This window comes from Homo sapiens, chromosome 15 (genome assembly GCF_000001405.40).
Source record: "Homo sapiens chromosome 15, GRCh38.p14 Primary Assembly".
NCBI classification, from domain to species: Eukaryota; Metazoa; Chordata; class Mammalia; order Primates; family Hominidae; genus Homo; species Homo sapiens.
The window spans coordinates 29646861-29673773 of NC_000015.10; the positions used below are offsets into that span (position 1 = coordinate 29646861).

At 45.1% G+C, this 26913-nt stretch overlaps 1 protein-coding gene across 3 annotated transcripts in view, besides 1 other annotated feature; it reads right to left on the reverse strand.

Moving 5' to 3' along the window:
- The window catches only part of ENTREP2 (endosomal transmembrane epsin interactor 2), a 557698-nt gene that overhangs the window by 529149 nt on the left and 1636 nt on the right, over positions 1-26913 (reverse strand). The gene's annotated exons all lie outside the window — the stretch shown is intronic.
- Positions 4775-5275: an enhancer, noted in NCBI's record as "H3K4me1 hESC enhancer chr15:29943839-29944339 (GRCh37/hg19 assembly coordinates)". NCBI's record gives its function as "activates a minimal SCP1, AML or CMV promoter by ChIP-STARR-seq in naive H9 embryonic stem cells {active_cell/tissue: H9 hESC(naive)}" and the evidence as "EXISTENCE:reporter gene assay evidence [ECO:0000049][PMID:30033119]".

The window sequence follows — 26913 nt, forward strand, 5'->3', positions numbered from 1 at the left end:
TACTGCAATAAAACAATCACTCACTCAGAGAAATCAATGGGTTACTACAGTGGGTATTTCAAACCCACTTCTCTATCCATTGCCTTGACCACCATATGAGGACCAACAGAAGACAACATTGATTTCTCCTCCGTGGTTTCATGCCTCTCCACCCACCTGGAACAGGCCCTTTATATAAATGCAGCTGTCATATTAAGTGCCCACCTGCAAGAACCACCCAATTTCACAGCATGCTATTTCTACACTTGACTTTCCTAAACTTGCCTAGACCATGACTCTTGAAACTGTAGATAACTTACTCTGGCTGGTACATTGCAATTTATGAGCAAAAGCTCTGTTAATGGAGGACATACAATAGGAACAGAGCCTAAAAACACACAGGTAGATCCTCTCAAGTCCTTGCCTAAGCCACTCTAATGTCCTCTGAAAGCAGAAGTTATTCAAGGAATAAAACCAATTATACATTCTCAAATCAAAAGTGTCTCACAGAAGTCTATGTATCGCCTTTTTACAAACCTAATGGAAAGGGATGGGATGTTCATTTGTTCAAGACTTAAGAAACATTCCTAAAGTTATCCCTAGGTTTCCCGCAGTGCCCCACTCTAATGCTATTCTATCTCCAGTTTCACTTACAGGCAAATGTACTGTAATGTACAGTACAGGCAAATGTACTGTGAGAGACCTTTCTCAGCCTTCTTTGGCATATCTGTAAATATAGTCGATAGGTATTTTCTTTATTTAGAATGACTAACAGTATACAGGTATTTGGGCAGTAATACCTCAGAGACACCTTATATTCCTTCCAGTCTTTAAATCATGATTTAAAGGACATACTCCCAAAAGGGTACAATTTCATTCAATATAGAAGACTTTGCCTCATATATACCTCTCCCGGAAAACCCTCCAGAGGACTCAATCCACCTTTTAAAGGAGCAAGTGGCTACATATGATAAAGCCTCAAAGGAAAAATGACCATTTTGCCAAGAGGTGGGACATGATTTAGGAGGTGACCTCTCCACCAACAGGCACACTCTACCCAAAAATTGGACACTCATAGGATTTGGGAAACTTAAGAGGTATGAAAAGCAATGGATTCCCAGTTTTTCCAGCGTAACTTGACTCCTCCATGAACTTAACAAAAACACGCAACCAGAAAACTTCCTTGATGAAACTGACCTTGTCACTTTGAAATCTAAATCACAACAGGCCCCAATACCGGCTCCACCTGAACATCATCATCATTTACCTTACGCCCATTTGGCACATTTCCTTTAGCTGAAGCAAAAAGGAGGTGCCATGGGGTACCAAAAAGAGGCTTTAGCTCAACAACATGGGAAGTACCAGAAACCGCTCCTGATTTAGGCACTTCTCTAGACTCAGTGGCTAGGGTTTTCTTCCTTGTTATGTGCCTTAACAGTGGTTGCAAAACGGTCAGTGCTTCTGTAGATATTATCCTTGTCGCACCATTAACTCCATGGGTTGCCCAGGCTGTTCAGTCCATACTACTGACAAGCAACAGCCAGCACTGCTCTGCAAGCCCATTAGCTCAGGCTGGCTGCTGTTGTTGGTCTCTCATGTTACCCACCATGTGTCAGTGTTATCATCTCAGTCTTGCAGTATTGCTTCCACCACCTGAAGAAGAGCCCCAGGACTATAGTACAGCAAACATGAAGTCGAGTATTTCCAAGGAAGATCTAGTTGATGTTCTCCTAGAGAATCTGCAGCAAGTGTTGCTTTTAAATGATCAAGGTCAATACCATTGAAGTTACGCAATGATTACATAAAACTGTATTAGGGCCGGGCACAGTGGCTCATGCCTGTAATCCCAGTACTTTGGGAGGCTGAGGCAGGCAGATCACCTGAGGTCAGGAGTTCAAGACCAGCCTGGCCAACATGGCGAAACCCCATCTCTACTAAAAATACAAAAAATTATCTGGGCGTGGTGGCATGTGCCTGTCATCCCAGCTACTTGGGAGGCTGAGGCAGGAGAATTGCTTGAACTAGGGAGGCGGAAGTTGCAGTGAGCCAAGACTGTGCCATTGTACTCCAGCCTGGGCAACAAGAGCGAAAACTCTAAAAAAAAAAAACAACAACAAAAAAAACTGTACTAGATGATAACCTTTCACCCAAAGTTGAGCCATCTCAAATAGTAGAACTAGTAGCCCTTACCAGAGCTGATGCCAAAAGGGACACATGTACACACACACACACACACACACACACACACACACAGCTATTATGCCTTGGTGTTGTATATAATTTGGTGATGCTATGGGACTGAAGGAATAGCTGACCTCATCAGAGAGGCCTAAAAAAAGGGAGAAAAAAGTAGATTTGTTAGAAGCACTGATGCTCTCAAAAGAGGCATACAATTAAAAGTTAAGGCACATAGTACAAGCCATAATAAAGAAGGTGATGGGAGTGCATTGGCAGATATTAAACAAAGGAAGTGCACTTTTCTCCTTGTTCTTAGGAGTTATTTATGATGAAGGAAATGTAAAAACATGAATAGATTTTTTTACATACAATTTATTTCAGACAGAGTATTTAGCCCTAGATTCAAGAAACAGAAACACTGGGCCAGGCGCGATGGCTCACACCCATAATCTCAGCACCTTGAGAGGCTGAGGTGGGTAGATCACCTGAGGTCAGGAGTTTGAGACCAGCCTGGCCAACATGGTGAAACCCTGTCTCTACTAAAAATACAAAAACTAGCCAGGCGTGGTGATGTGTGCCTGTAATCCCAGCTACTTGGAGGCTGAGGCAGGAGAATCGACTGAACCTGGGAGATGGAAGTTGCAGTGAGCAAGATCGAGCCACTGCTCTCCAGCCTGAGTGACAGAGCAAGACTCCATCTCAACAACAACAAAAAAAAAAAAAAAAAAGAAAGAAAGAAAGAAAAAAGAAAGAAAAGAAAATAGAAATGCTGGCTAAAATCAGGTTGTTCTGTCAATTTCAGTGGTCTCTAATGGAGCAAGGATGGCCTCTTGCTTACACCAAAAATCTGAGGTAGAAATTGACCAAAATGCACAACAGAGCTTCTACCACGGATAAGAGTTGGTGGGGACATTTCCCCTTGGTAACTAGAGATGTGAAAGGTATATGCCTCATCTGTACTATCATAACCACCCCCACAAAAAAATTGTGATGGTGGGACACAGGTCTGAGCTATATCCCAGAGGACTTTTAAACACTTGAAAATGGGCTTTATCCACTTTCCCAAGTCACGAGATTATGCATATGCGCTAAAGGTTGCCTGTAAATTCTCTGGAGGTGAGCTCTTCTCAAGTAGAAAAGCCACTGCAATAACTAAACTTAAAAAAAAAAAAAGTTAGACAATGGTTTTTCCCACCTGGGAAGCCAATCATACTCACTAATATTAAAGGTACTCATTTACTGGAGCAGTCATAAAGGGACTTGGTGAGGTGTTACTACTTCGTCAAAAATCTAGGCCACACGCGGTGGCTCACACCTGTGATCCCAACACTTTGGGAGGCTGAGGTGGGTGGATCACCTGAGATCAGGAGTTCAAGACCAGCCTGGACAATATGGTGAAACCCCATGTCTACTAAAAATACAAAAATTAGCCAGGCGTGGTGGTACACACCTATAGTCCCAGCTACTCAGGAGGCTGAGACAGGAGAATCACTTGAACCTGGGAGGCGGAGGCTGCAGTGAGCCAAGATCACGCCATTGCAGTCCAGCCTGGGTAACAGAGTGAGACTCCATCTCAAAAAAAACAAAAAACAAAAAAAAAAAATTCTTGTTACCCTTACTCTTCAGTTTCCAGAAAAGGTAGAGGTACAAATGTAGGTACACAACTTAAATTGGTGGTGATGTGCGCCTATGATCCCAGCTACTCGGGAGCTTTTCATTTTTCTTTCTTATTGCTTCTTGCTTTCTGTACTGCTTCTGAGGCAGGAGGATTGCTTGAGACCAGGAGTTCAAGAGCAGCCTGAGCAACATAGCAAGACCCTGTTTCCAAAAAAATAAAATGAAGTACAATACATTAGCCAGGGATGATATGCACCTGTAGTCCTAACTACTTGGGAGGCTCAGGTGGGAGGATTGCTTGAGCCCAGGAGTTTGAGACTGCAGTCAGCTATGATTGCACTACTGCATGCCAGCCTGGGCAACAGATAGAGACCTCTGTCTCTAAAACATAAAAATAATAAAACTGGTTAAGTTATCTGAAGCTCTTAAACATCCATGGCTGAGAATTTTACCTCTAGTGGCCATCAGGTCAGCCTGTTCTGGAACTTACAGATTGTAACCTTATGAATTAACAACTAGAAGACCCATGCACTGGTAAGTTTTACCACTCGTAATTGATTGGAGCTTGCTTCAGGCAGACCTAGCTAAATACTGTCAAAGAGAAATTCAATAATCATTCTTATCTTCCATGATTGCAAACTAGATTTTCAAAAACTTCACCTTCAAAACCTCTACACTCCTTCAACCTAGATATTAGGTATTCTGGAAAAGACACCAATTGGAAATATTCTCTAGAGACATTCTGGAAAGGATCCTAGGAAGGTGATAGCAGAAGCGGCCCATCTAGAATGGCAGCTGCCAAGATGCCAGCTGCAGCAGACAGGCAGGCCTGGGCCTCCCATTCTCAGAGTGGGCTGAAGCCCCGCCCTCCCTGGGTACCTCTGCAGCTGCCCTCCCAGGCGCAAGACCCGGGCATCTCTGCAGTCTGCACCCTTGGGGGCCTGGGAAGGCCCCCCATCTCCACAGGCTCAGGAGTCTCTGCTCTGCTGCCTGGCCTCTTCCCAGCTCAGCACCCTCTCTGATCTTGAAGCATGGTTGGGGCCAAGCCCAGGCACTGTCACAGCCCAGCTGGGTGTATACACACTCGGGGCAGCACCGACACACCAGCTCCCTACCGCCTCAGCCCCCTACAGGCTTTGGGCACCCACGAGCATGGGAGGGGAAGCCAAGGAGGGGCTGAGGGCAGCTTGGTGCTGGCCTGCAGGTGCCCCTTAGTTCAAGCAGCCTGGGCACCATGGACAGCAGCAGGACGCAGACGGGTTCCTGGGTGGCAGGGGGTGGGTCCCCAGTGAAGCCCCACCTTCTGGCTGGAGAAGATCTGAAGCCTGGGGGCCAGGCCGCCAGTCCTGTGGATTGGAGGGGGAACTCATGGTGCTTTTTCCTGGGCCCGCCCATGGCTGTCCATGGAACAATCAGCATGCACTTCCCCACCCTGAGGCCCATAAAAGCCCCAGGCTCAGCCAGAGCAGGAGAGACAATGGGACAACCAGCTGCAGAGAGAGCCTTCCCACTCCAGCAATGAACTACCTGCAGAGAGGAGAAACACACTCCAGGTCCTCCTTTCTGCAAAGAGCTGTGGAAATGACAGGACAACCTGCCAGCAGAGAGGGGCCACCCACCCCAGGGCCTTCTCCTCTCTGCTGAGGGCTGAACACTCGTCAGGACACCCTGGTTGCAAAAAGGAGCTACCCACAGTGGGTCCCTGAGCTGTTCTACTGCTCAGTAAAGCTCCTCTTCATCTTGCTCACCCTCCACTTGTCTGCATGCCTCAGTCTTCCTGGTTGCAGGGTAAGAACTCAAGGTGCCAAATGGCAAGTCTAGAAGTGCTGTAACACAAACAGGGCTGAAACACGCCGCTTGCTCTCCACATTGCAGGTGAAGAGTGGGAAAGAAGAGCTGAGGCCCTTTAGGGAGCCCAGACCTGGGGGCTCCCCAAGCCAGGGCTGTGACTCCCTCTTTGAGGCCCTGCGGTTCTTGGAGTCTCTGAGCTTCCAGGCACTACTGCATTCCCCCCAGGGCCAGCCAAAGCTGCTTGTGGTGTGCCTCCTCCAGCTGCAGCCTTGCAGAGAGCTGCTGCCTGTGCTGGTACCTGGAAACTGCTCCTGCTACTTCAGGAGCCGGCCCACTTGACTGTGTGCAGCGGCCGGACTCCACACTCACTTGCTCATGCACCTTGCCACTCCACGCCTGGCTCAACCTTGGCAGCCGTGGATCCAGGCCGGTAGCATGAGCCAAGTACAGCCTGCCAGGCTGAGTGGGAGGAATAAGCTGAATAGACTGGATCAAAAGTCAGACAAAGGCACCACCAACCACAGAGGTTTCTGGCCAGAAAAATAACACCCAAAAGATCCCATAAGAAAGGTTCTTAATAACAGACATCAGTAAAACTGCAAGAAGTGTATCCTTGGATCCATGTATCCCCTGTGCAAAAAGATGGACAAAGAAATTGATTTGGTTGCAAGGGCCAACTGGGAGTCCATATCACTGGGAATCTCAAACTGCACCTTAACACAAAACAAAACAAAACAAAAAACTCCAGATGAAGAAAACTGTCTGAAGGTTGACAGCAGCTACCCAAGTACTTTGCACCACACTGATTAATACTTGAAGCAGCTTCCACTCAAGATCATCAGAGTAAGACCCAATGACCAAAACCACAAATTTTCTTTTCTTTCTTTTTTCTTCTTGTTTCTTGCTTCTGTCTCTAACCCTTATATCGATTTGGATTCCTTTTTGTTGATTTAAACTGGCTGACAGTACACTGATACAGTTTGGCTGTGTCCCACCCAAAATTTCATTTTGAGTTGTAATCCCCATAATCCCCACACATCAAGGGAGAGACCAGGTGGAGGTAACTGAATCATGGGGCAGTTTCCCCAATGCTGTTCTCATCATAGTGAGTGAGATGTCATGAGATCCGATGGTTTGATAAGTGTTTGGTAGTTCCTCCTGCATTCCTTCTCCTTCCTGCCACTTTGTGAAGAAGGTGCCTTGCTTCCCCTTTGCCTTCCGCCATGACTGTAAGTTTCCTGAGGCCTCCCCAGCCATGCTGAACTGTGAGTCAATTAAACCTCTTTCCTTTATAAGTTACCCAGCCTTGGGCAGTTCTTTACAGCAGTGTGAAAATGGACTAATACACACACCAACAATGCCTTATTCATGTTTTTTATTCTTGTCCTTAATACACGTGGTCCAGAGAGAGCTTACGCTTACCAGGGCATTTTCCATCTAAGAGTGTAAAGCTCCAGAAATCGGAAAGAATCTGGATTTTTAAATGCATCTCTGACTTCTAATGTGTCCCTTATTACTGGATATCAAGCATTCCACATTTCTGCTCAAGATTTCCAAGCTTATGATGCTAACATGTTCTGTTCAATCATGTGGATTGAACATATTTCATTTATACAGATCAGTATAGCTATACTTATCTTAAATAATTTATAATATTGCTATAATTATACTTATCTTAAATATTAGACCCATCCAAGGCCTAAAATCTTGTCCAAAGTTTGAACTGAGAAACTGATCAGGTTTTCTCTAATTGTTTTTGATGTTTCTACTTAAATTTTTGTAATTGTACACTAAATTCTGTGACTAACGGTAAAATTGTTTTCTCAAACTTTCGCATTCATATCATGGAAAATTTCATCAGACCCAAATCAAAACTGGAAACTAAAATTTGGACCAATTACCAAATTTTGTGCCAATACTACATTGAGGAAGGCAAACATGTTTGTGCGGTTGGAGAATTCATATATATTAAACAATTAACATTCATTGTATACTGAAAGTAGAACATACGCTTTGACAGAAAGATTTCATATAAAAGCTGTACTGAATCTGGTCAGTTTTTAACTTGCAGAAAGACATGCATTAATAAGAACTTACATGAATTTTTAAATTCCCCATTTCTATCAAGCATGTTTTACACCCATCCTACGCTCTCAATGGAATGCAAATCTACTTGGAGGAATTAGAGATGGTGAGATCCATATCTCTATGTAAGGTATCTTTCCTTATCTTGCAGTATACAAAATTCCTATTGCCATGGTAATCATTTCAAATAAAACTATATTTGCACTCTAGGCTAAAAAAAATTAGCCTGAACTTTCTTGATAAAGTGTTACTAGACAACAGAATTGCCTTTGATTATACACTAGCAGAGCAAGGTGATATTTGTGTCCTGACTAATACCTCCTGTTGCAGCTGGATCAATGAGAGTTCCTTACATAAAATTCAAGGACAAGCCAACAGGTTGTCCAAGTGGGATAATGCATACAGTTGAAATCTAGTCTCATGGCTTGAGTTTGACAAAAGGAGGGGTACTTTGTATCTATTAGTTATGCTGTTTCTATCTCTGTTTCTATTCACTGCTGTTGTCAAATGATTTGTAAACAGCTTCTGAAATGCTGCTGCACCATCTCAACAAACATCAAATGATCCTGAATTGAAAGGATTCTAAAGTGATCTGAAAAAACACAACTGAAAAATTAGCACCTTTGGTAGAGCGTGATGATGGCCCCAATTCTTCATCCCTCCAGTAGCCTCAGCTTTTTCCATGTGCCCTTTCTCTTTGAGACACAGGACCACAGGACTACAGCTGAGAGTGTAACAAGAAAAACTCTCTGGTAGCACAACCCTAATCTATGCACAAGGTAAAACTAGAGAATTTTGAATCTTGTGGTTCACTTAGAGTCACCATAGCAACAACAGAACCCAAGCCCAACTCAAATATCACCTATATTGACTCAGCTCCCCACACTAGCAGAAGAGGATGTGCTCCCATCTCTATGTAAAACGCCGTTCATTTTAGCCTTTACTGTGTAACACAACATGTTTTGCTTTCAACTAAAAATTACAAGACACACAAGAAAGCAACAAAAAGCAATCCCCAGTCAAAGAGAGCAATCAAGAGAGCCAGACTTAGATATCACTGGATGTTGGAACTGTCAGACAGGAAATTTAAGATAACTATTATTAATATGTGAAAGGCTTGTGGAAAAATTCACAACATACATGAGCCAATCATGAATTTCAACTAAAAAATAAAAACTATGAGAAAGAATCAAATGGAAATGCTAGAATTAAAAAACAAAAAAACAAAAAACAAACCGGGCACAGTGGCCCACACCTGTAATCCCAGCACTTGAGGAGGCCAAGGGGGGTGGATCACTTGAGGCCAGGAGTTTGACACCACCTGGCCAACATGGCAAAACTCTGTCTCTAGTAAAAGTGCAAAAATTAGCTGGGTGCAGCGGTGCATGCCTGTAATCCCAGCTACTCAGGATGCTGAGGCATGAGAATCACTTGAATCTGGGAAGCGGAGGTTGCAGTGAGCGAGATCACGCCACCGCACTCCAGCCCGGGTGACAAAGCAACACTCCGTTTAAAAAAAAAAAAAAAAAAAAACAACTATGTAGGCCACAGGCATAACACTTTTAAAGAGCAGAAAGAACAAAGCTCCCACCTTTGAATTCTATACCCAGTGAAAATATCTTACAAAAATAAAGAATAAAGAATTTTTCATATAAACAAAAATTGAGAGAATGCATTACCAGAAAATCTGTGCTATCAATATAAGAAATGTTAACGGAATTTTTTTTTTTTTTGAGACAGAGTCTCACTCTGTCACCCAAGCTGGAGTGCAGTAGCACGATTTCAGCTCACTGCAACCTCCACCTCGCAGCTTTAAGCAATTCTCATGTGTCAGCCTCCCGAGTAGCTGGGACTACAGACATCCATCACCACAGCCGGGTAGTTTTTCGTATTTTTAATAGACACGAAGTTTCACTAGGTTGCCCAAGCTGGTCTTGAACTCCTGAGTGCAGGCAATCTGCCTGCCTCAGCCTCCCAAAGTGCTACAATTACAGGCGTGGGCCACTGTGCCTGGCCAGTAAATTTTTAAAGTAGAAGAATTCTGATAGCAGACAGAAACTTGGGCCAACACAGCAAATGGAAAGATGCTCAACATAATTTACCATTATTTGCCAGGGAAGTGCAAATTAAAACCACAGTGAGAGTCCAGTACACACGTATTAAAATGGCTAAAAACCTGACACCACCAAATGCTCGCAAGGACGTGGTGCAACAGACTCTCTCATATCTTATCTTGCTTGAAAGAAAGCAAAATGGTAAAGCCACTCTGAAAAACAGTTCGTTTCTTCTAAAGTTAAGCATGTACTTACCCTATGACCCTCTAATCTCACTGCTAGGTATTACCCAAGTGAACTGAAAACTCATCTTCACACAAAAACCTGTACACAAACGTTTAAAGCAGCTTTTTATGACCACAAAACTCCATAAATAGCCCAAATTTCCCTCACCTTGTGATTATGTGTCTGCAGTTGCTGCCGGCCAGGGTGTTCGTGGTCTCGCTGCCTTCAAGAACGAAGCCGGGCCTTCGTGGTGAGTGTTACAGCTCTTTTCTTTTTGAGACCGAGTCTCCCGCTGTTCCTCACGCCAGAGGGCAGTGGCGCGGTCTTGGCTCACTGCAAGCTCCGCCTCCCCCGTTCCGGCCATTCTCCTGCCTCCTCCTCCTGAGCAGCTGGGACTACACGCGCCCACCACCACGCCGCGCCAGCTTTTTTTTTTTCTTTTTGCATTTTTAGTGGCTACAGGGTTTCACCGTATTAGCCAGGATGGTCGCAAATCTCTCGACCTCCTGATCCACCTACCTCAGCCTCCCAAAGCGCCCACCAGTGTTACAGCTCTCAAAGACGGCAGTGTTACAGTTCTTACAAATGGCACGGACCCAAAAAGTGAGCAGTAGCAGCTATAAAGAAGCAAAGGACAAAGCTTCCACCACACAGAAGTGGACCCCTGCGAGTTGCCGCTGTCGGCTGGGGGGGCGGGGGGGGGGGGTGGCCAGCTTTTATTCCCTTATTGTCCCCACCCATATTCTGTTTCTGTCCTATCAGAGTGCCCTTTTTTCAATCCTCCCCACGATTGGCTACTTTTAGAATCCTGCTGATTGGTGCATTTTACAGAACGCTGATTGGTGAGTTTTACAGAGTGCTGATTGGTGCGTTTTACAGAGCGCCGATTGGTGCATTTTACAATCCTCTTGTGAGACAGAAAAGTTCCTGATTGGTGCATTTTACAATCCTCTTGTAAGACAGAAAAGTTCCCCAAGTCTCCACTAGACCCAGGAAGTCCAACTGGCCTCACCTCTCAATTAGATAACCAAATTGTGACATATATGTATGAAATACTATCTATAGTGTGTGTATGTATATATACATATATATAATGAAATATTACTCAGCAGTAAAAAAGGAATGAACTACAGATACACATAACAGCATCAATGAATCTCAAATGTGCTATTGTGCTATTAATACGTGAAAGAAGTCAGATTCTAAAGGCCATATGATATGGTAGAATGGGAAAAACGTTAAAACAAATCAGGAGTTGCCAATGCTGATGATATGGTTTGGCTGTGTTCTCACCCAAATCTTATCTTGAATTATAATTTCCATAATCCCCACATGTCTTGGGGGGGACCAGGTGGAGATAATTGAATCATGGAGCAGTTTCCCCCATCCTGTTCTTGTGATAGTGAGTGAGTTCTCATGAGATCTGATGGTTTTATAAGGGGTTTCCCCCTTCACTGGGCACTCATTTTTTTCTCTCCTGCCACCTTGTGAAGAAAGACATGTTTACTTTTCCTTCCACCATGATTGTAAATTTCCTGAGGCCTTAGCCTCCCTAGCCTTGCAGAACTGTGAGTCAATTAAACCTCTTTCCTTTATAAATTACCCAGTCTCGAGTATGTCCTTATAGCAGAGGGATAATTGACGAATACAACTGGGAATTTAGGAGGAGGTGGTTATCAAAAAGCGGAATGGGGGAAGGTAGAATTTTTAGGGGTGATAGAATCATCGTGTATCTTGATTGTGTGGGTGGTGGGTGTAGTGGTTACACAACTGTATAAGATTCAAATCTCATAGAATTCTATACTAACAAGAATTTTACTGTATATAAATCACACTTCATTAAATATAAAACAAATCAATAAAAAAAAACAATCTACTCAATACAACACCCAAGACTGATCTGAATGTGATCTGAATCTGAAAGCCTGATAATTCTCTCATCCTTTCAGGTCAACCTTTCATCTCTGAATGAGGTAAGGACATTATAAAGGACTATAAAAAAAACTTTATAATTATAGCAATACTTGCCTGGGGTTTGATCAAACATGAATATTATTTTGACCAGCCAAAGCTGTTAAATGACTATAAACTTTGAGCAATACACTAGCAAAGGTGATAAACAACCAAGAGGTGATCCTCACCCAACCTAACGAAAATTCTTTCCCAACTAAAGAGCAATGAGACTCACTTCACACAACATACAGATGGATGCATTCTGCCCAGTCCAGGCTGTGCGCTGCAATTGTTAACTGGCAAAATCACAATGAACCTGTCCTTTCTAGCACATAAAATTCCTGATTTTTTTTTCCCTGTGGGGATCCACTCAATTGAAATAAATATAGTGCTTACATTTTCAGTCAGTAGGTGGTCCTTATCATTCCTTTAATAATACACCCAGAGGCTGGGCACAGTGGCTCATGCCTGTAATCCCAGCACTTTGGAAGGCTGAGGCTGGCAGATCACGAGGTCAGGAGATCGAGGCCATCCTGGCTAACACGGTGAAACCCCGTCTCTACTGAAAATACAAAAAAATTAGCCAGGTGTGGTGGCATGCACCTGTAATCCCAGCTACTCAGGAGGCTGAGGCGGAAGAGTTGCTTGAATCCGGGAAGCGGAGGTTGCAGTGAGCCGAGATCACGCCATTGCCCTCCAGCCTAGGAGACAGTGCGAGACTCCATCTCAAAAAAATAAAAAATAATAATAATAATAATACACCCAGAAAACCACTATCACCACTGTCTAGGTCATGAAACAGAACAGACTGGAACCACAGTAATAATGCATTTTCCCAAAATATTACATTCCTGCCTCCCTAAAGGTAACTACTATCATACTTTTAACACCATAGACTAGTTTTGCCTATTTTGTAGCATTGTGTAAATTGAACCATATAGTATAAATAATTTTATGCCTCAACCTTATGCTTATGGGAGTTGTCCATATTACAGCATGTGTAAGTAGCTGTTCATTTTTATTACCGTATGATATTCCATTGCACGAATATGCCACTATATTTTTTTTTTTTGAGACAGAGTCTTGCTCTTTCACCCAGGCTGGAGTGCAGTGGTGCTATATGTCAGCTCACTGCAACCTCCGCCTCCCAGGTTCAAGCAATTCTTGTGCCTCGGCCTCCCGAGTAGCTGGGATTACAGGTGTGCACCACCACACCTGGCTAATTTTTTTTGTATTTTTAGTAGAGACAAGGTTTCACCATGTTGCCCAGGCTGGTCTCGAACTACTGAGCTCAAGCAATCCGCCTGCCTTGGCTTCCCAAAGTGCTAGGATTTCAGGCGTGAGCCACCACACCCAGCCACCACTATGTTTATGTACCTGCTATCAGTGAACATTTAAATTGTTTTTGGCTTGAGCTATTATAAATAATATGCAAGGATAAATAAATGCAAGGATCTTTCCATTACACTATGGTTCAAATGTGCCCCCTCCAAAATTCAAGTATTGCCAATGTGATAGTATTAAGAGATGGGACTTTTAAAATGTGATTCAACCATGAGGGCTCCTTTTTCTAACTGAAATTAGGTGCCCTTCTAGAGGGACTTGATGGAGGGCTTTGCTCTCTCTTGCCCTTCTGCTGTCCATCCTGTGAGGACACACACACAAATGCCCTCAGCAGATGCCAGTGACTTGATCTTTGACTTCGCAGCCTCCAGAACTGAGAGAATAATTTTTTTTTCTTTATAAATTACTGAGTCTCAGGTATTCTCTCACAGCAGCACAAAATTGACTAAGACATGTACCTTTCAGATGTGTATCTTTTGGGTTTCGAACCATGTGACTATATTACCTCTTCAAAATTGAATCAAATTAAAATTGTAAAGTAATGAACAAATCCAGTGAGCATTTCTTTGGATTTCTTTCTGACAAGTAGTAGTGCAAATACACTCTGTGTGAAAAGTAGTTTTAAAGTAGCACTTTATTGTTATCATTGGCAATTAGAATCCAATAATTACAGTTGACCCTTGAACAACACAGGTTTGAACTGCGTGGGTCCACTTCTATGAGGACTTTTTTCAACCCAACGAGGATTGAAAATACAGTATTCATGGGATGTGAAACCTGCATACACAAAGGGCCAACTTTTCTTATAGGTGGGTTCCAGAAGGCCAACTGCAAGATTTAAAGATGCACAGATTTGGGTATCCTCTGGCAGTCCTGGAACCAATCCCCCTCAGATACCAAGGGACAACTCTATAATTATTGTAAAGCATTAATGATATTTACATGAATTAAGAGTGTGGTTGTAATTACAGCATTTTTTTGCTGATTTGTAAAGAATTCTCCATTTAATGAAAATTAGTAAACAAGGCCAAAGATGTTTTAACTGAAAAAGGAAATTAAAGGTTCATTTGAAAGAATCAGACAATTGCATCCTCTGAGAAGATTTTTTTGTTTGTTTGTTTTGTTTTCTTTTGAGACGGACTCTCACTCTGTTGCCCAGGTTGGAGTGCAATGGCGAGATCTCTGCTCACTGCAACCTCTGCCTCCTGGGTTCAAGTGATTGTCCTGCCTCAGCCTCCCAAGTAGCTGGGATTACAGGTGCACACCACCATGCCTGGCTAATTTTTGTATTTTTAGTAGAGATGGGGTTTCAGCATGTTGGCCAGGCTGGTCACGAACTCCTGACCTCGTGATCTGCCCGCCTCGGCCTCCCAAAGTGCTGGCATTACAGGTGTGAGCCACCACACCCGGCCGAGAAGATGTAATTTTATCACATAAAATTCAGATACCCTCACTGTGTTTTAATTCAGCTGGCTAATTTATCTGAGATTATACTTTAAAACCTGAGTATAAACAAAAAAGAGGTATGTAACATTAGGTTGACTGTTACAATTCAGTAGAATATTTAATGAGCTACACACATACACACACATTTACAAGCATCCAAGGCTATAATACACAGAAATCATAAAACCAATGGCTGACAGTCTCCACTTCATTATTACTGTTTACTGTAAGGTCATTATTAAAGTAGTGTGAAAACTGTTGCCCAATGGAATAACTGTTGTTTTCCATTTCAATACAAACGTAGTCAGTGACACACACATTAACCTTTAAAACACCCATGTTTTCCATGTCCATGTCTACCTAAGACATCAGAAAACTATTTACTTAAAGAAAATGCGCCAGGCATGGTGTATTACGCCTGTAATCCCAACACTTTGGGAGGCCGAGGCAGGCAGATCACTTGAGGCCAGGAGTTCGAGACTAGCCTGGGCAACATGGGGAAACCCCATCTCTACTAAAAATACAAAAATTAACTGGGAGTGGTGGTGGGTGCCTAAAATCCCTGCTACTGGGGAGGCTGAAGCCAGAGGATTGCTTGAGCCCAGGAGGTGGAGGTTGTGGTGAGCCAATATCGTGCAACCGCATTCCAGCCTGGGTGATGGGAGTGAAACCCTGTCGCAAAAAAAAAAAAAAAAAAAAAAGAAAGAAAAAAGAAAATGAAATAAAATACAGCTGCATAACTGAGGCTCACAAAGCTACTCTGCCATGGGTTACTACAGGAAAATGGAGATTCTGGGAGAAGAAATAGTATATACATCCAAAAGTTTTGGTTTTGCTGCAGTCTTATTGTGCCTGCTTTTAAAAAATCCGATGTGAAGATTTTCCCCAAATAAAAATATTTTTTATAATAGGATAAAGTTATATCCCAGCATAGTGATATTCATGACCATCCTCGCCCCTCCTTTGTATGGTCTTTGTGTCATTCTTGACAGGTCCACCATTTTAGTGCATTACACCCTGCAACCTGGCTCCAGACAGAAGACTCCCTCTTCTTCTCAGAAGCCTGCCTGGGCTGCACAGGGCCACCTCGCCCAGCAGTGTTCACAACTCTGTCTGCTGGCTCTCTGCTGCCCCTCTCCATCCATGCCACGCACACGAGCCCATAAGGACTGCCTCCCGATTCTTTTTCTTTTTTTTCTTTTTTTGAGATGGAGTTTCTCTCGTGTTGCCCAGGCTGGAGTGCAATGGCGCAATCTCTGCTCACTGCAACCTCTGCCTCCTGGATTCAAGCAATTCTCCTGCCTCCGCCTCCTGAGTAGCTGGGATTACAGGCATGCACCACCACGCCTGGCTAATTTTTGTATTTTTCTTAGTAGAGACATGTTGGTCAGGCTGGTCTCAAACTCCCAACCTCAGGTGATCCGCCCGCCTCGGCCTCCCAAAGTGCTGGGATTGCAGGTGTGAGCCACCGCGCCTGGCCAGGACTGGCTCCTGATTCTAACGGTTGCCCGGAATCCCGTGCCCAGCCCAGCTGAGCTCTGTACCCACTAGGGTACTTGATCTGCTGTAATTGCTCTGGGCCTCAGCCTCTCCATGCAGCACACACACACATGCTTGGTGTGCTTCACAAGGATATAGGGAGAGCTTTAGGAGAGGCAGACTTGTCTTCTAAGAATCATTTTTAGTAATAAATAGCATGGTGGGGTGGCGGGTGCAGTGGCTCATGCCTGTAATCCCAGCACTTTGGGAGGCCAAGGCGGGCGGATCACCTGAGGTCAGGAGTTCGAGACCAGCCTGACCAACATGGAGAAACCCCATCTCTACTAAAAATACAAAACTAGCTGGATTATAAATCATGCTGTTATAAAGACACATGCACATGTATGTTTATTGCAGCACTATTCACAATAGCAAAGACTTGGAACCAACCAAAATGCCCATCAATGATAGACTGGATTAAGAAAATGTGGCACATATACACCATGAAATACTGTGCAGCCATAAAAAAGAATGATTTCATGTCCTTTGTAGGGACATGGATGAAGCTGGAAACCATCATTCTCAGCAAACCATCGCAAGGACAAAAAACCAAACACCGCATGTTCTCACTCATAGGTGGGAATTGAACAATGAGAACACTTGGACACAGGAAGGGGAACATCACACCCCGCGGCCTGTTGTGGGGGAGGGGGAGGGGGGAGAGATAGCATTAGGAGATATACCCAATGTAAATGCCAAGTTAATGGGTGCAGCACACCAACATGGCACATGTATACATATGTAACAAACCTGCACGTTGTGCACATGTACCCTAAAACTTAAAGTATAATTAAAAAAAATACAAAATTAGCTGCGCATGATGGTGTGCGACTGTAATCCCAGCTACCTGAGAGGCTGAGGCAGGAGAATCACTTGAACCCAGGAGGCAGAGGTTGCAGTGAGCCGAGATCGCGCCATTGCACTCCAGCCTGGGCAACAAGAGTGAAACTCCATCTCAAAAAAAAAAAAAAAATAGCATGGGGGTATGAAGCCTCATATTTTGATAATAAATTGCTCCCAGCATATATTACAATCTGATGCATTCTTAAATGTGAATTCCTTTGTGCTATAAACGTTAAGTGCCTCATTTTCTCAATGCTGTGAGCTTTTAATTCTGCAGCATGGCTCTGTGACTGTGATTGTGAGTAGGGACGGCTGTGTTGATGTGCATGTGGTCATTCCACACCTTAAACGTGAGAGGTGCACTCTGGTCTGTGGTCAACAGCTAAATTCCTCTATCTCTTTAAACTTCACTGCACCAAACTGGAGAACCCACAGCTGCTGTTTCCCAATGGGTCTGGGCAGTATTTGAGGCTGGTTTGCAAGCCAACTATAATTTTCTGTAGTGGAAAGAGACTCTTTATTTTTCTCTCTCTCTTTTTTTTTTTTTTTAGCGCTCCTGCGCACTGCCTGATGTTCCCTCCCTGGGCTGGATGCCGACGCTGGGAGACTCGGAAGCCGCGTGTGGAAGATGGCAGTGTGGGTATGGCCTGGGTGCTTGCGTGATGGGGTGGAGGGAGTCATTATCCCCAACACAAACGCGCCCACTGACTCGGACCCGCATTGGACTGTGGGACCTGGGCAGACTCCCTAAAATGTGGGTTTTGTGATAGTTATAACAGCCTGCATTGACTGGTCCTCGGCCAGTCTCAGGGTCTTTGGCAATATTTGGAACTCTCTTGGCCCTTTGTCTTTTGATACTTATCTGGCCAAATTTGGCCTGAATGGACCAAACTTCTGCCTTTTCTGTTTCTGGGCAGGCACTGTTGGGCACTGCCAGAGAGAAATCTCAAAGTCAGATGTTACACTGTCTGGGATGCAGCTGCGCCCAGCAATCCTGGTGTGTCCCCAATCCAACTTTCTCTGCCACCTTCTGGAGTGGCTATTTCAAGTCTCCGGTTTTCTGAAGTCCTTAAGTCTCTCTTTCCACTTCAAAGAGAACATTGCAGTCATCGGTTGGGAACTTGCTCCAAGTGAGGAGCAACTGTGCCCACCCTCCCATCCTCTCCCACACCTGGGGAGTTCATGGCTAGCCCTGCCCTTTGGGCACTGGCTCCCAGCCAGAGACCTCTGCAGGGGCAGTGCCCCATCTCATGCCCTCTCTTTCCTGCACCTTCCTCTCTGCTAGTGCCCTTCTTCTGCGTATCTGGCTGTGTAGGAGAAGTTCTCTATCAGCAGAGCCTAGTTCAACAGTTAAAAAAAAAATTCACCATAGGTTTCATGCCCTGAATACCACTTACAGAGCAGCTGCTGGGTACTTGCAATATAGGCAAAATGCAGATCTTGCTCAACTCTTCTGGTGTCTGTTAACTAGCCATTGCGCTCCCCTAGATAAAATGGCTCTCTCTAGAGGGGTGACACAGATCATTCATGGTGGGTAGCAGACATCAATCGCTACCACTTGTTTTCTTGCTGGTGGTAATGGAGACCCTCCAGGGAACCCTTACACCCCTCTGAATCTCCTCGTGGGAGGAAAACTGGGTTGTGCTCTGAAATGTCGTTAAAGTCATATTTGGAGAGCTGCGCTGACTCTGAGGAGCTGGCTGAGATCTCTTTCTTCCTGAACAGCATGCCAGCTGCCATGCAACCATTCCTCACGCAGGCAGCACAGGGGAAAGCAGGGAGGCCACATCTTGGACTCTAACGTAATGATTTTTTTTCCTGCTTCTGTGGTTAAACACATTTAGAGGACCTGTTTTGAAGGTTCCTATGTTCCTGTCTGCGTTATGCAAATTATAGGCACGTGTATGTTAGGAATGCAAGGAACTTGTTTACATCATCTTTTTTTTTTTTTTTTTTTGAGCCAGAGTCTCGCTCTGTCTCCCAGGCCGGAGTGCAGTGGTGCGATCTTGGCTCACTACAACCTTCGCCTCCCGGGTTCAAACAATTCTTGTGCCTCAGCCTCCTGAGTAGCTGGGATTGCAGGCACACACCACCACACCCAGCTAATTTTTTGTGTATTTTTAGTAGAGATGGGGTTTCACCATGTTGGCCAGGCTGGTCTCGAACTCCTGACTTCAGGTGATCCTCCAGCCTCTGAACCCAAAGTGCTGGGATTACAGGTGTGAGTCACCGCACCTGGCCTACATCGTCTTTTGTGAAAAAAAAAATTATTTATACACTTGAATGTCTAATCAGCGTTTCAAAGGTAACATGCCCAAAACTAAATTCTCAGTATCCCTCCTCCCCAGCCACCTTCATCCCAGCAGGGGTGTCACCAGCAGCTCAGGCCAATGATCCAGCAGTCAGACTTGACTCCGCTCATGCTCTCTCACCCATCTAACCCATCAGCAATATTACTGGGTCTGCTTTCCAAATCCACCCTCATTACACCTCCCCCCACTCACCCCCACCCTCGCCCAGACTGCCACCATGGACAGTTACAGTGGCCTTCTAAAGGTCATGTCTCCCCCATTGTCTTCTCTCCCAAATTCTATTTTCCATAGACAAGCTAGACTATTTTGATCATGAAAATCTCACTGTGCTGCTCCCTGCTTACAATAACCTCCTCTCCCTTATGGAATCAAATCTGAAGTCCTCACCGTGCCTGCACCAGCCCTCCAGCATCCCTGTTTCTTGGGCCTGCCAGGCCAGTCCCCACCTCAGGACTTTTGCACTTGTTATGTCCTCTGCCAAGAAAGCTCTTCCCTGAGTTATCAGTTCCTGGAGTGGCCTTCCTTGACACTGTAGTTTCCCAGGGCTGCTGTAACCATAGACTGGAGGGCATAAACAATAGAAATGTAGTCTCTCACAGTTCCAGAGCCAGAAATCCAAAATCAAGGTGTCTGCAGGGCCACGCTCTCTCGCTCTGAAAGCTCTGAGAAAGAATCTATCTTACTTATCTTTCTCAGCTTCTGGTGGTTCCCATAAACCTGTGATGCTCCTTAGTTTATAGACGCGTCATTCCAATCTCTGCCTCCATTGTCACCTAGCACTCCCACTATGCCTGTGAACCTTCCCTTCTTATAAAGACACCAGTCACACTGGATTAGGGCCCACTCTAATTCACCATGACCTCATGTTAACTTGATTACTTCTGTGAAGACCCTATTTCCAAATAAAGTCACATTCACAGGTGCCAGGTTAGGGCTTCAACATATATTTTCTTTTCTTTTCTTTCCTTTTTTTTTTTTTGAGGCAGAGTCTCACTCCGTCTCCCAGGCTGGAGTGCAGTGGCGGGATCTTGGCTCACTGCAAGCTCTGCCTCCCGGGTTCATGCCATTCTCCTGCCTCAGCCTCCCGAGTAGCTGGGACTACAGGCGCCCACCACCATGCCCGGCTAATTTTTTTGTATTTTTAATAGAGACGGGGTTTCACCATGTTAGCCAGGATGGTCTCAATCTCCTGACCTCATGATCTGCCCATCTTGGCCTCCCAAAGTTCTGGGATTACAGGCGTGAGCCACTGCGCCTGGCCTTTTTTTTTTTTTTTTTTTTTGAGATAGAGTTTCGTTCTTGTCACCTAGGCTAGAGTGCAATGGCGTGTGGTCTCAGCTCACTGCAACCTCTGCCTCCAAGGTTCAAGCGATTCTCCTGCCTCAGCCTCCCAAGTAGCTGGGATTACAGGCGCCTGCCACCACGCCCAGCTAATTTTTGTATTTTTTAAGTAGAGACAAGGTTTCACCATGTTGGCCAGGCTGGTCTCGAACTCCTGACCTCAGGTGATCCACCCACCTCGGCCTCCCAAAGTGCTGGGATTATAGGCGGGATCCACTATGCCCGGCTGTCTTCAACATATGTTTTTGGGAGACACACTTCAATGCATGAAAACATCCTATATCCTATAGATGTAGAGTCGCTATTTGCTCTACATCTTGGCCTGTTTTCTTCACCCCATGTCATTTTCCACTATCTGAAACTATGCCCCAGAGGATAGTGGCAGCTGTCTAAATTAGAATCTCCCTACCCATTCTCCTTAAAACTGTACAGGTGAGCAAGGAGAGAAGACACCCATTGCTCCTGTCTACACCACATCTAGAAGGCAGAGAAAGGAAAAAGTGTCTTAAAAAAGTAATAATAAGGACCCAGCAAGAGAGCACCCTAGCCAATCAATCGTGGAAGAAAAGGGTGTCGTTGATTAAAGAAACTGCCCTTCACTCTAGCAACAGAAGAGGGAGCAGTTGATCTGCACAACCAACAGGCCGCTCGGGCCTCTAGGCCTCCACTGCATTGTCTGCTATTGCCAGTCCGGGGAAACGCAACAGAAATAACCACCACCAATCACAAAGCAGAAAAGGAGAACCATACTTTCCAGCAGATGGCGCCACTTCGGAAAACAGTTTGGTGCGTCCTCAAAAAATTAAACATATAATTACCGTGACCCGGCAATTCCACTCCTAGGTATACCCAAGGCAAATGAAAACATGTCCACATAGACACTTGTACATCAATGTTCCTAGCAATATTACTCCTTAAGAGCCAAAAGATGGAAACCACTCAAACGCCCGTCAACTGATGAATTGGTGAACATGTTGTGGTATATATCGATACAAGAGACTATTTGCGGTAAATAGGGATGCAATACTGATTGATACTACAACATGGATTAACTTTGAAAACATTGCTGGGGCTCGGAAGCTGATGCCCCGAATTTGATGCTTTGTACATGCTGAACTGAAAAAGGAGCTTCAAGGTCTCTCTCCTCCCTCCTGCCCCAAAGCATAGGCTTCTCTGACATTCCCTTATCTGTCTAAAGTCTGGGTCTATGAAAGAAAAACAATCACCTCCAGTCACTTCCCTGAGTTTTCATTAACTGCACCCATATCTCAGAAAGGAAAACTAAAGTCGGTCAACACACCTGGACAGACTTTTGTCACAAACCATTGTCTGCTCTGCAGGCCCAGCAGACTTTACCGCAGACCGTGGTGTGTTCTTCAAGCCCTTTGAATCTTCCCTAGTCATCATTTATTGCCCCTCCCCAGAATTCCTCTTCTCCCGCTCCCATAACTACGACCAGGGAAGATTCAAAGGGCTAAAAATACAAAAATTAGCTGAGCGTGGTGGCACATGCCTGTAATCTCAGCTACTTGGGAGGCTGAGGCATGAGATTTGATTGAACCCGTGAGATGGAGAGGTTGCAGTAAGCCAAGATTGCGCCGCTGAACTCCAGCCTGGGCAACAGAGCGAGACTCCATCTCAAAAAACAAATCAAAACAAAAACAAAAAACAGGTGATTGTGTCATGGGGGCTCTGCCTTTGTGAATAGATTAACCCATTCATGAACTGATGGACTGGTGGGTTAATGGATTAATGTGTTATCACAGAGTGGAATTGGTGGCTTTATAAGAAGAGAAAGAGACATGGGCCAGCATGTTCAGCCCCCTCGCCATGTGATGCCCGGCACCACCTTGGGACTCTACAGAGTCCCCACCAGCAAGAAGCCCTCACCAGATGCAGCCATTCAACCTTGGACTTCCCAGCCTCCAGAAGTGTAAGAAATAAATTTCATTTCTTAGCAATTACTCAGTTTCAAATATTCTATTATATGCAACAGAAAATGGACAGAGAGAGTTCTTAAGGAATTCCCCATCACATCCGAGGCTTATCCAGAGGTGATCCTTGTCTGGTTCCCCAGGAGGCTCCTGGAGGAAAGGAATGGACACTGTCCACCACCCCATTCATTGGATGCAGGGCCCGAAGGGAGGACCTGTGGAGGGTTTTCCAGCGGCTCCCTTAAAAGGAACCTGGAGAGAGGTGATTGAATTACTTCCTCAGTGCATCTTATTTGTTAATGACATGCTCATTTCAATGATCCATGTCATCCCGGTCCCTATTACCATAAATAACGAAGCATTAGCTGTACGTGGCAGTGGCTGTCTGGAGCAGCAAAGAGCCGATCCCACGGTGTGTCTGCCCTGTCAAAATCATGTTGGCTGTGCTTAAAAATGACACTCCAGCCTGTCCCTGCAATCCCCATGCGTTTTCATCATGAGTCAGAACTTCAAGATGCTATTCATTCCGAAGCCATGTCAGCTCAGCTGTCAAGCAAGTTTATCGCATCTTGTATTTATGATAAACTTGAGTGACATGCAGATTTTGAATATCATATTCTAAAGCCATTTTAATCTAGGCTAAATGCAGCCTGTCAAATTCCCCTGTAAGGCAGGATCCATGGTGGGGGCTGGGGACTGAAGGGAGGTGACAGCAGTGCGGTTGGCAGACAGGGGAGAGGGAAGGTAAGCAACAGAGAAAGGTGCCTGGGTTCCCAAACAGGGTTCCAGAGGCAAGTCCACTCTGCCTAGAAGTAAGATGGCTCTGGGGCAGGACGCATGAAGGGTCTCGCCCAGAACAGTGGTTCCAGCGGTGATTCCCAGGGACCTATAGAAACCCTGAAGGGTGGGGAAGCTTGAGTCACAAGATGTTTCAGGCCTTTCGAGGACTAGGTATTTGTGAACACAGGCCAGCCTTGGAAATTGAATATGCTCTCGACTTACAATGCCACCACTTAAGAGGTTGTTGGGCTGGGGGTTACTCATTCAGGGCACTGTTGTCCCTTCTGGGATGAGAAAAGCCAAATTATTACACGCTGAAGCAGATGTGTGGGGCCCGAGGTTTATGCCACCCGGGAACTCTCTTTAAAGAAAATGAAAACAAAAATTGTGGTAGAGAATTGCTCGGGTCCCTCCAAGGAGCCTACACAAAGGGCCTGCAGTGAGGGGTCCCAGTACCCTAGGCACAGAGGACCATGAGCTGCCCAGGGCCTCATGCCTGGGGAAGGCTAAGATGTGAAGCATGGTGATACAATAAGAAACATAGATTTGGTCCTTGTCTCTGTTCCTGGCACAGAGGGCCTAAGACCTTTGGAATCTCTGCAGTGAGAATAATGAATGTTTTTTGTGTACTAATGAGATGACTGGTGGCTGGGAGCCCCTGAACAGCTTCAGGATGAGGGCTGGTCCCAGAAAGACCAAGGCAGGATTAGGAGGTTGGAACTTTCAGCCCCACTCCCCGCAAACCTCCTCTGGGGAGAGGAGACAGGCTGGAGATTGGGTTAATCACCAGTGGTCAATGATTAATGAATCATACCCATGTCATGAAAACTCCCTAAACATTCCTGAACAACGAAGTCTGGAGAACTTCCAGGTTGGCAAACACAGCCATGTGCTGACAGGGTGGCACACCCCGACTCCATGCGGACAGAACCTCCTGGGCTCCGGACCCTTCCAGACCTAGCCCTGGCTGTTCGTCTGTGTCCATGGTAATAAACTGGTAATAGTAAATAAGTGTTTTCTTGGTTTCTATGAGCTGTTCTAGCCAATTATTGACCTGAGGGAGGTGGGGATTGTAAGAACCTCCTGACTTTGTAGCCAAGTCGGACAGAAGTGTAGGTTCTCTGAGTACCTAAGACTTGGGACTGGCGTCTGCGGTGTAGGTGATCTTGTGGGACTGAGCCCTTGAACCTGTTCAATCTGACATTAGTTAGTGTCAGAATTGAATTGAATCATAGGACACTCAGTTGGTACTGAGAACTGGCTGGTGCGGGAAAAAATCCCACATTTGGTGTGAGAAGTGTTTGAGTAAAAACAGCTCAAGCCCATTCTTCATTTCTCAGCAGGGTGGCTTTTGTTTGCTTTGCTGTTCCAACATTTCATTACTCATCTGGGTCCCAATGGGCCTTTATTAAGAAAAGAAACCTTTTAACATAAAAATTGGCTCCAGATCTGAGCCACTCATTTCCCCTGAACCTCTCTGGGGTCCTTGTGGGCTTTCTGTTTGGACAGGTGATCCCAGCGATTCTCCCAGCTTCAGAGGCTGAGAGGCTGTGATCCCCATCAAAGGCAGCACATGCCACAGTGTCCCCCAAGGAGCCCCCGTCTGCCTTGAATTCCACCTACAGTGGCACAGAATTGGCAGTGGGCACAGCTGGCTGCCATGGCTTCCAGGGGCTGGAAGGAGACGGTTTACTGCAGGGATTCTTTTTTTGTTTGTTTGTTTGAAACAGCATCTCACTCTGTCGCCCAGGCTGGAGTGCAGTGGCGCCATCTTGGCTCACTGCAACCTCTGCCTCCTGGGTTCAAATGATTTTCATGCCTCAGCCTCCCGAGTAGCTGGGATTACAGGCACACACCACCATACCCGGCTAATTTTTTTTATTTTTAGTAGAGAGGAGGTTTTGCCATGTTGGCCAGGCTGATCTCAAACTACTGGCCTCAAGTGATTCACCCGCCTTGGCCTCCCAAAGTGCTAGGATTACAGGCATGAGCCACCGCGCCCGGTTTACTACAGGGATTCTTATCCAAGGGCCTATGGATCCCACAATGGCATGTACAATTTTTATTTTTAAGGTCTTCTTTTCTGAGGAAATCAGTTGTCCAATTTTCAAATGGGTCCTTGACTACCCTCAAAGGTTAAAAATGATTTCCAGGTGAAAAATAAAGAAAAACACTGTTGCATTCTCTATTTTTTTTTTCTAAAAGTCAAATCAAGTATGGGAAATTCCAGTTATCCAGGGTGCCTCAACCAGGGAGCTTCTGGCTGCTTGAACATGGAGTCACCACACACGGTCCATGTGTAATTGCCCAATGGGCTCTCCATACCCACTGCCTAGACAGAGCCGATTTATCAAGACAGGGGAATTGCAGTCGAGAGTTTAATTCACGCAGAGCCGGCTGCACAGGAGACTGGAGTTTTATTACTACTCAAACCAGTCTCCCTGAAAACTTGGGGATCTGGGTTTTTAAGGATAATTTGGTGGGTTGGGGGGGTTGGAAAATGGGGAATGCTGATTGGTTGGGTAGAAGATAAAATTGTTGCTGGAAAGGGGTCCCAATCCAGACACCAGGAAAGGGTTCTTGGATCTCACGCAAGAAAGAATTCAGGGCAAGTCCATCAAGTTGGTGACTCCATAGGCAGGGCAGTGGCATGAGCTGCTCGAGGGAGTATACTTAGTTACTTCTTGATTATATGCTAAACAAGCGGTGGATTATACACGAGTTTTCCAGGAAAGGGGAAGGCAATTCCAGGAACTGAAGGTTACTCCCTCTTTTAGACCATAGGGGGTAACTTCTGGACGTTGCCATGGCATTTGTGAACCGTAATGGTGCTGGTAGGAGTGTCTTTTAGCATGCTAAACATTATAATTAGAGTATAATAAGCAGTGAGGATGACCACAGCTCATTATACTCTAATTATTAAAAGACGTCGCCATCTTGGTTTTGGTGGGTTTTGGCCAGCTTCTTTACCACATCCTGTTTTATCAGCAAGGTCTTTATGACCTGTATCTTGTACTGACCTCTTACCTCATCCTGTGACTAAGAATGCCTAACCTCCTGGGGATGCAGCCCAGCAGGTCTCAGCCTTATTTCACCCAGCCCCTACTCAAGATGGAGTCGCTGTGGTTCAAACACCTCTGACAAAATCACGGAAAGTCGAAGCTGTCCTCTTTTGCTGAATCAGTTCCTGGGTAGAGGCCACAGGATCCCATGTGGTGCCAGCTGATCATCGATCATCATGTGCAGGGTCTACAAATCATCTCAAGCACTGATCTTAGGCCTTACCATAGTGAGTTTATTCTCAGGAGCAATTTGGGATGGCTCAGAATCTTGGAGTCTCCAGATGCATGACTCCTAAACCCTAATTTCTAACCTTACAGCTAATTTGTTAGTCCTGCAAAGGCAGTGTAGTCCCCAGGCAAGAAGGGAGTTTGTTTTGGGAAAGGGCTGTTATTGTTTTTGTTTCAAAGCAAAACAATAAACCAAGTTCCT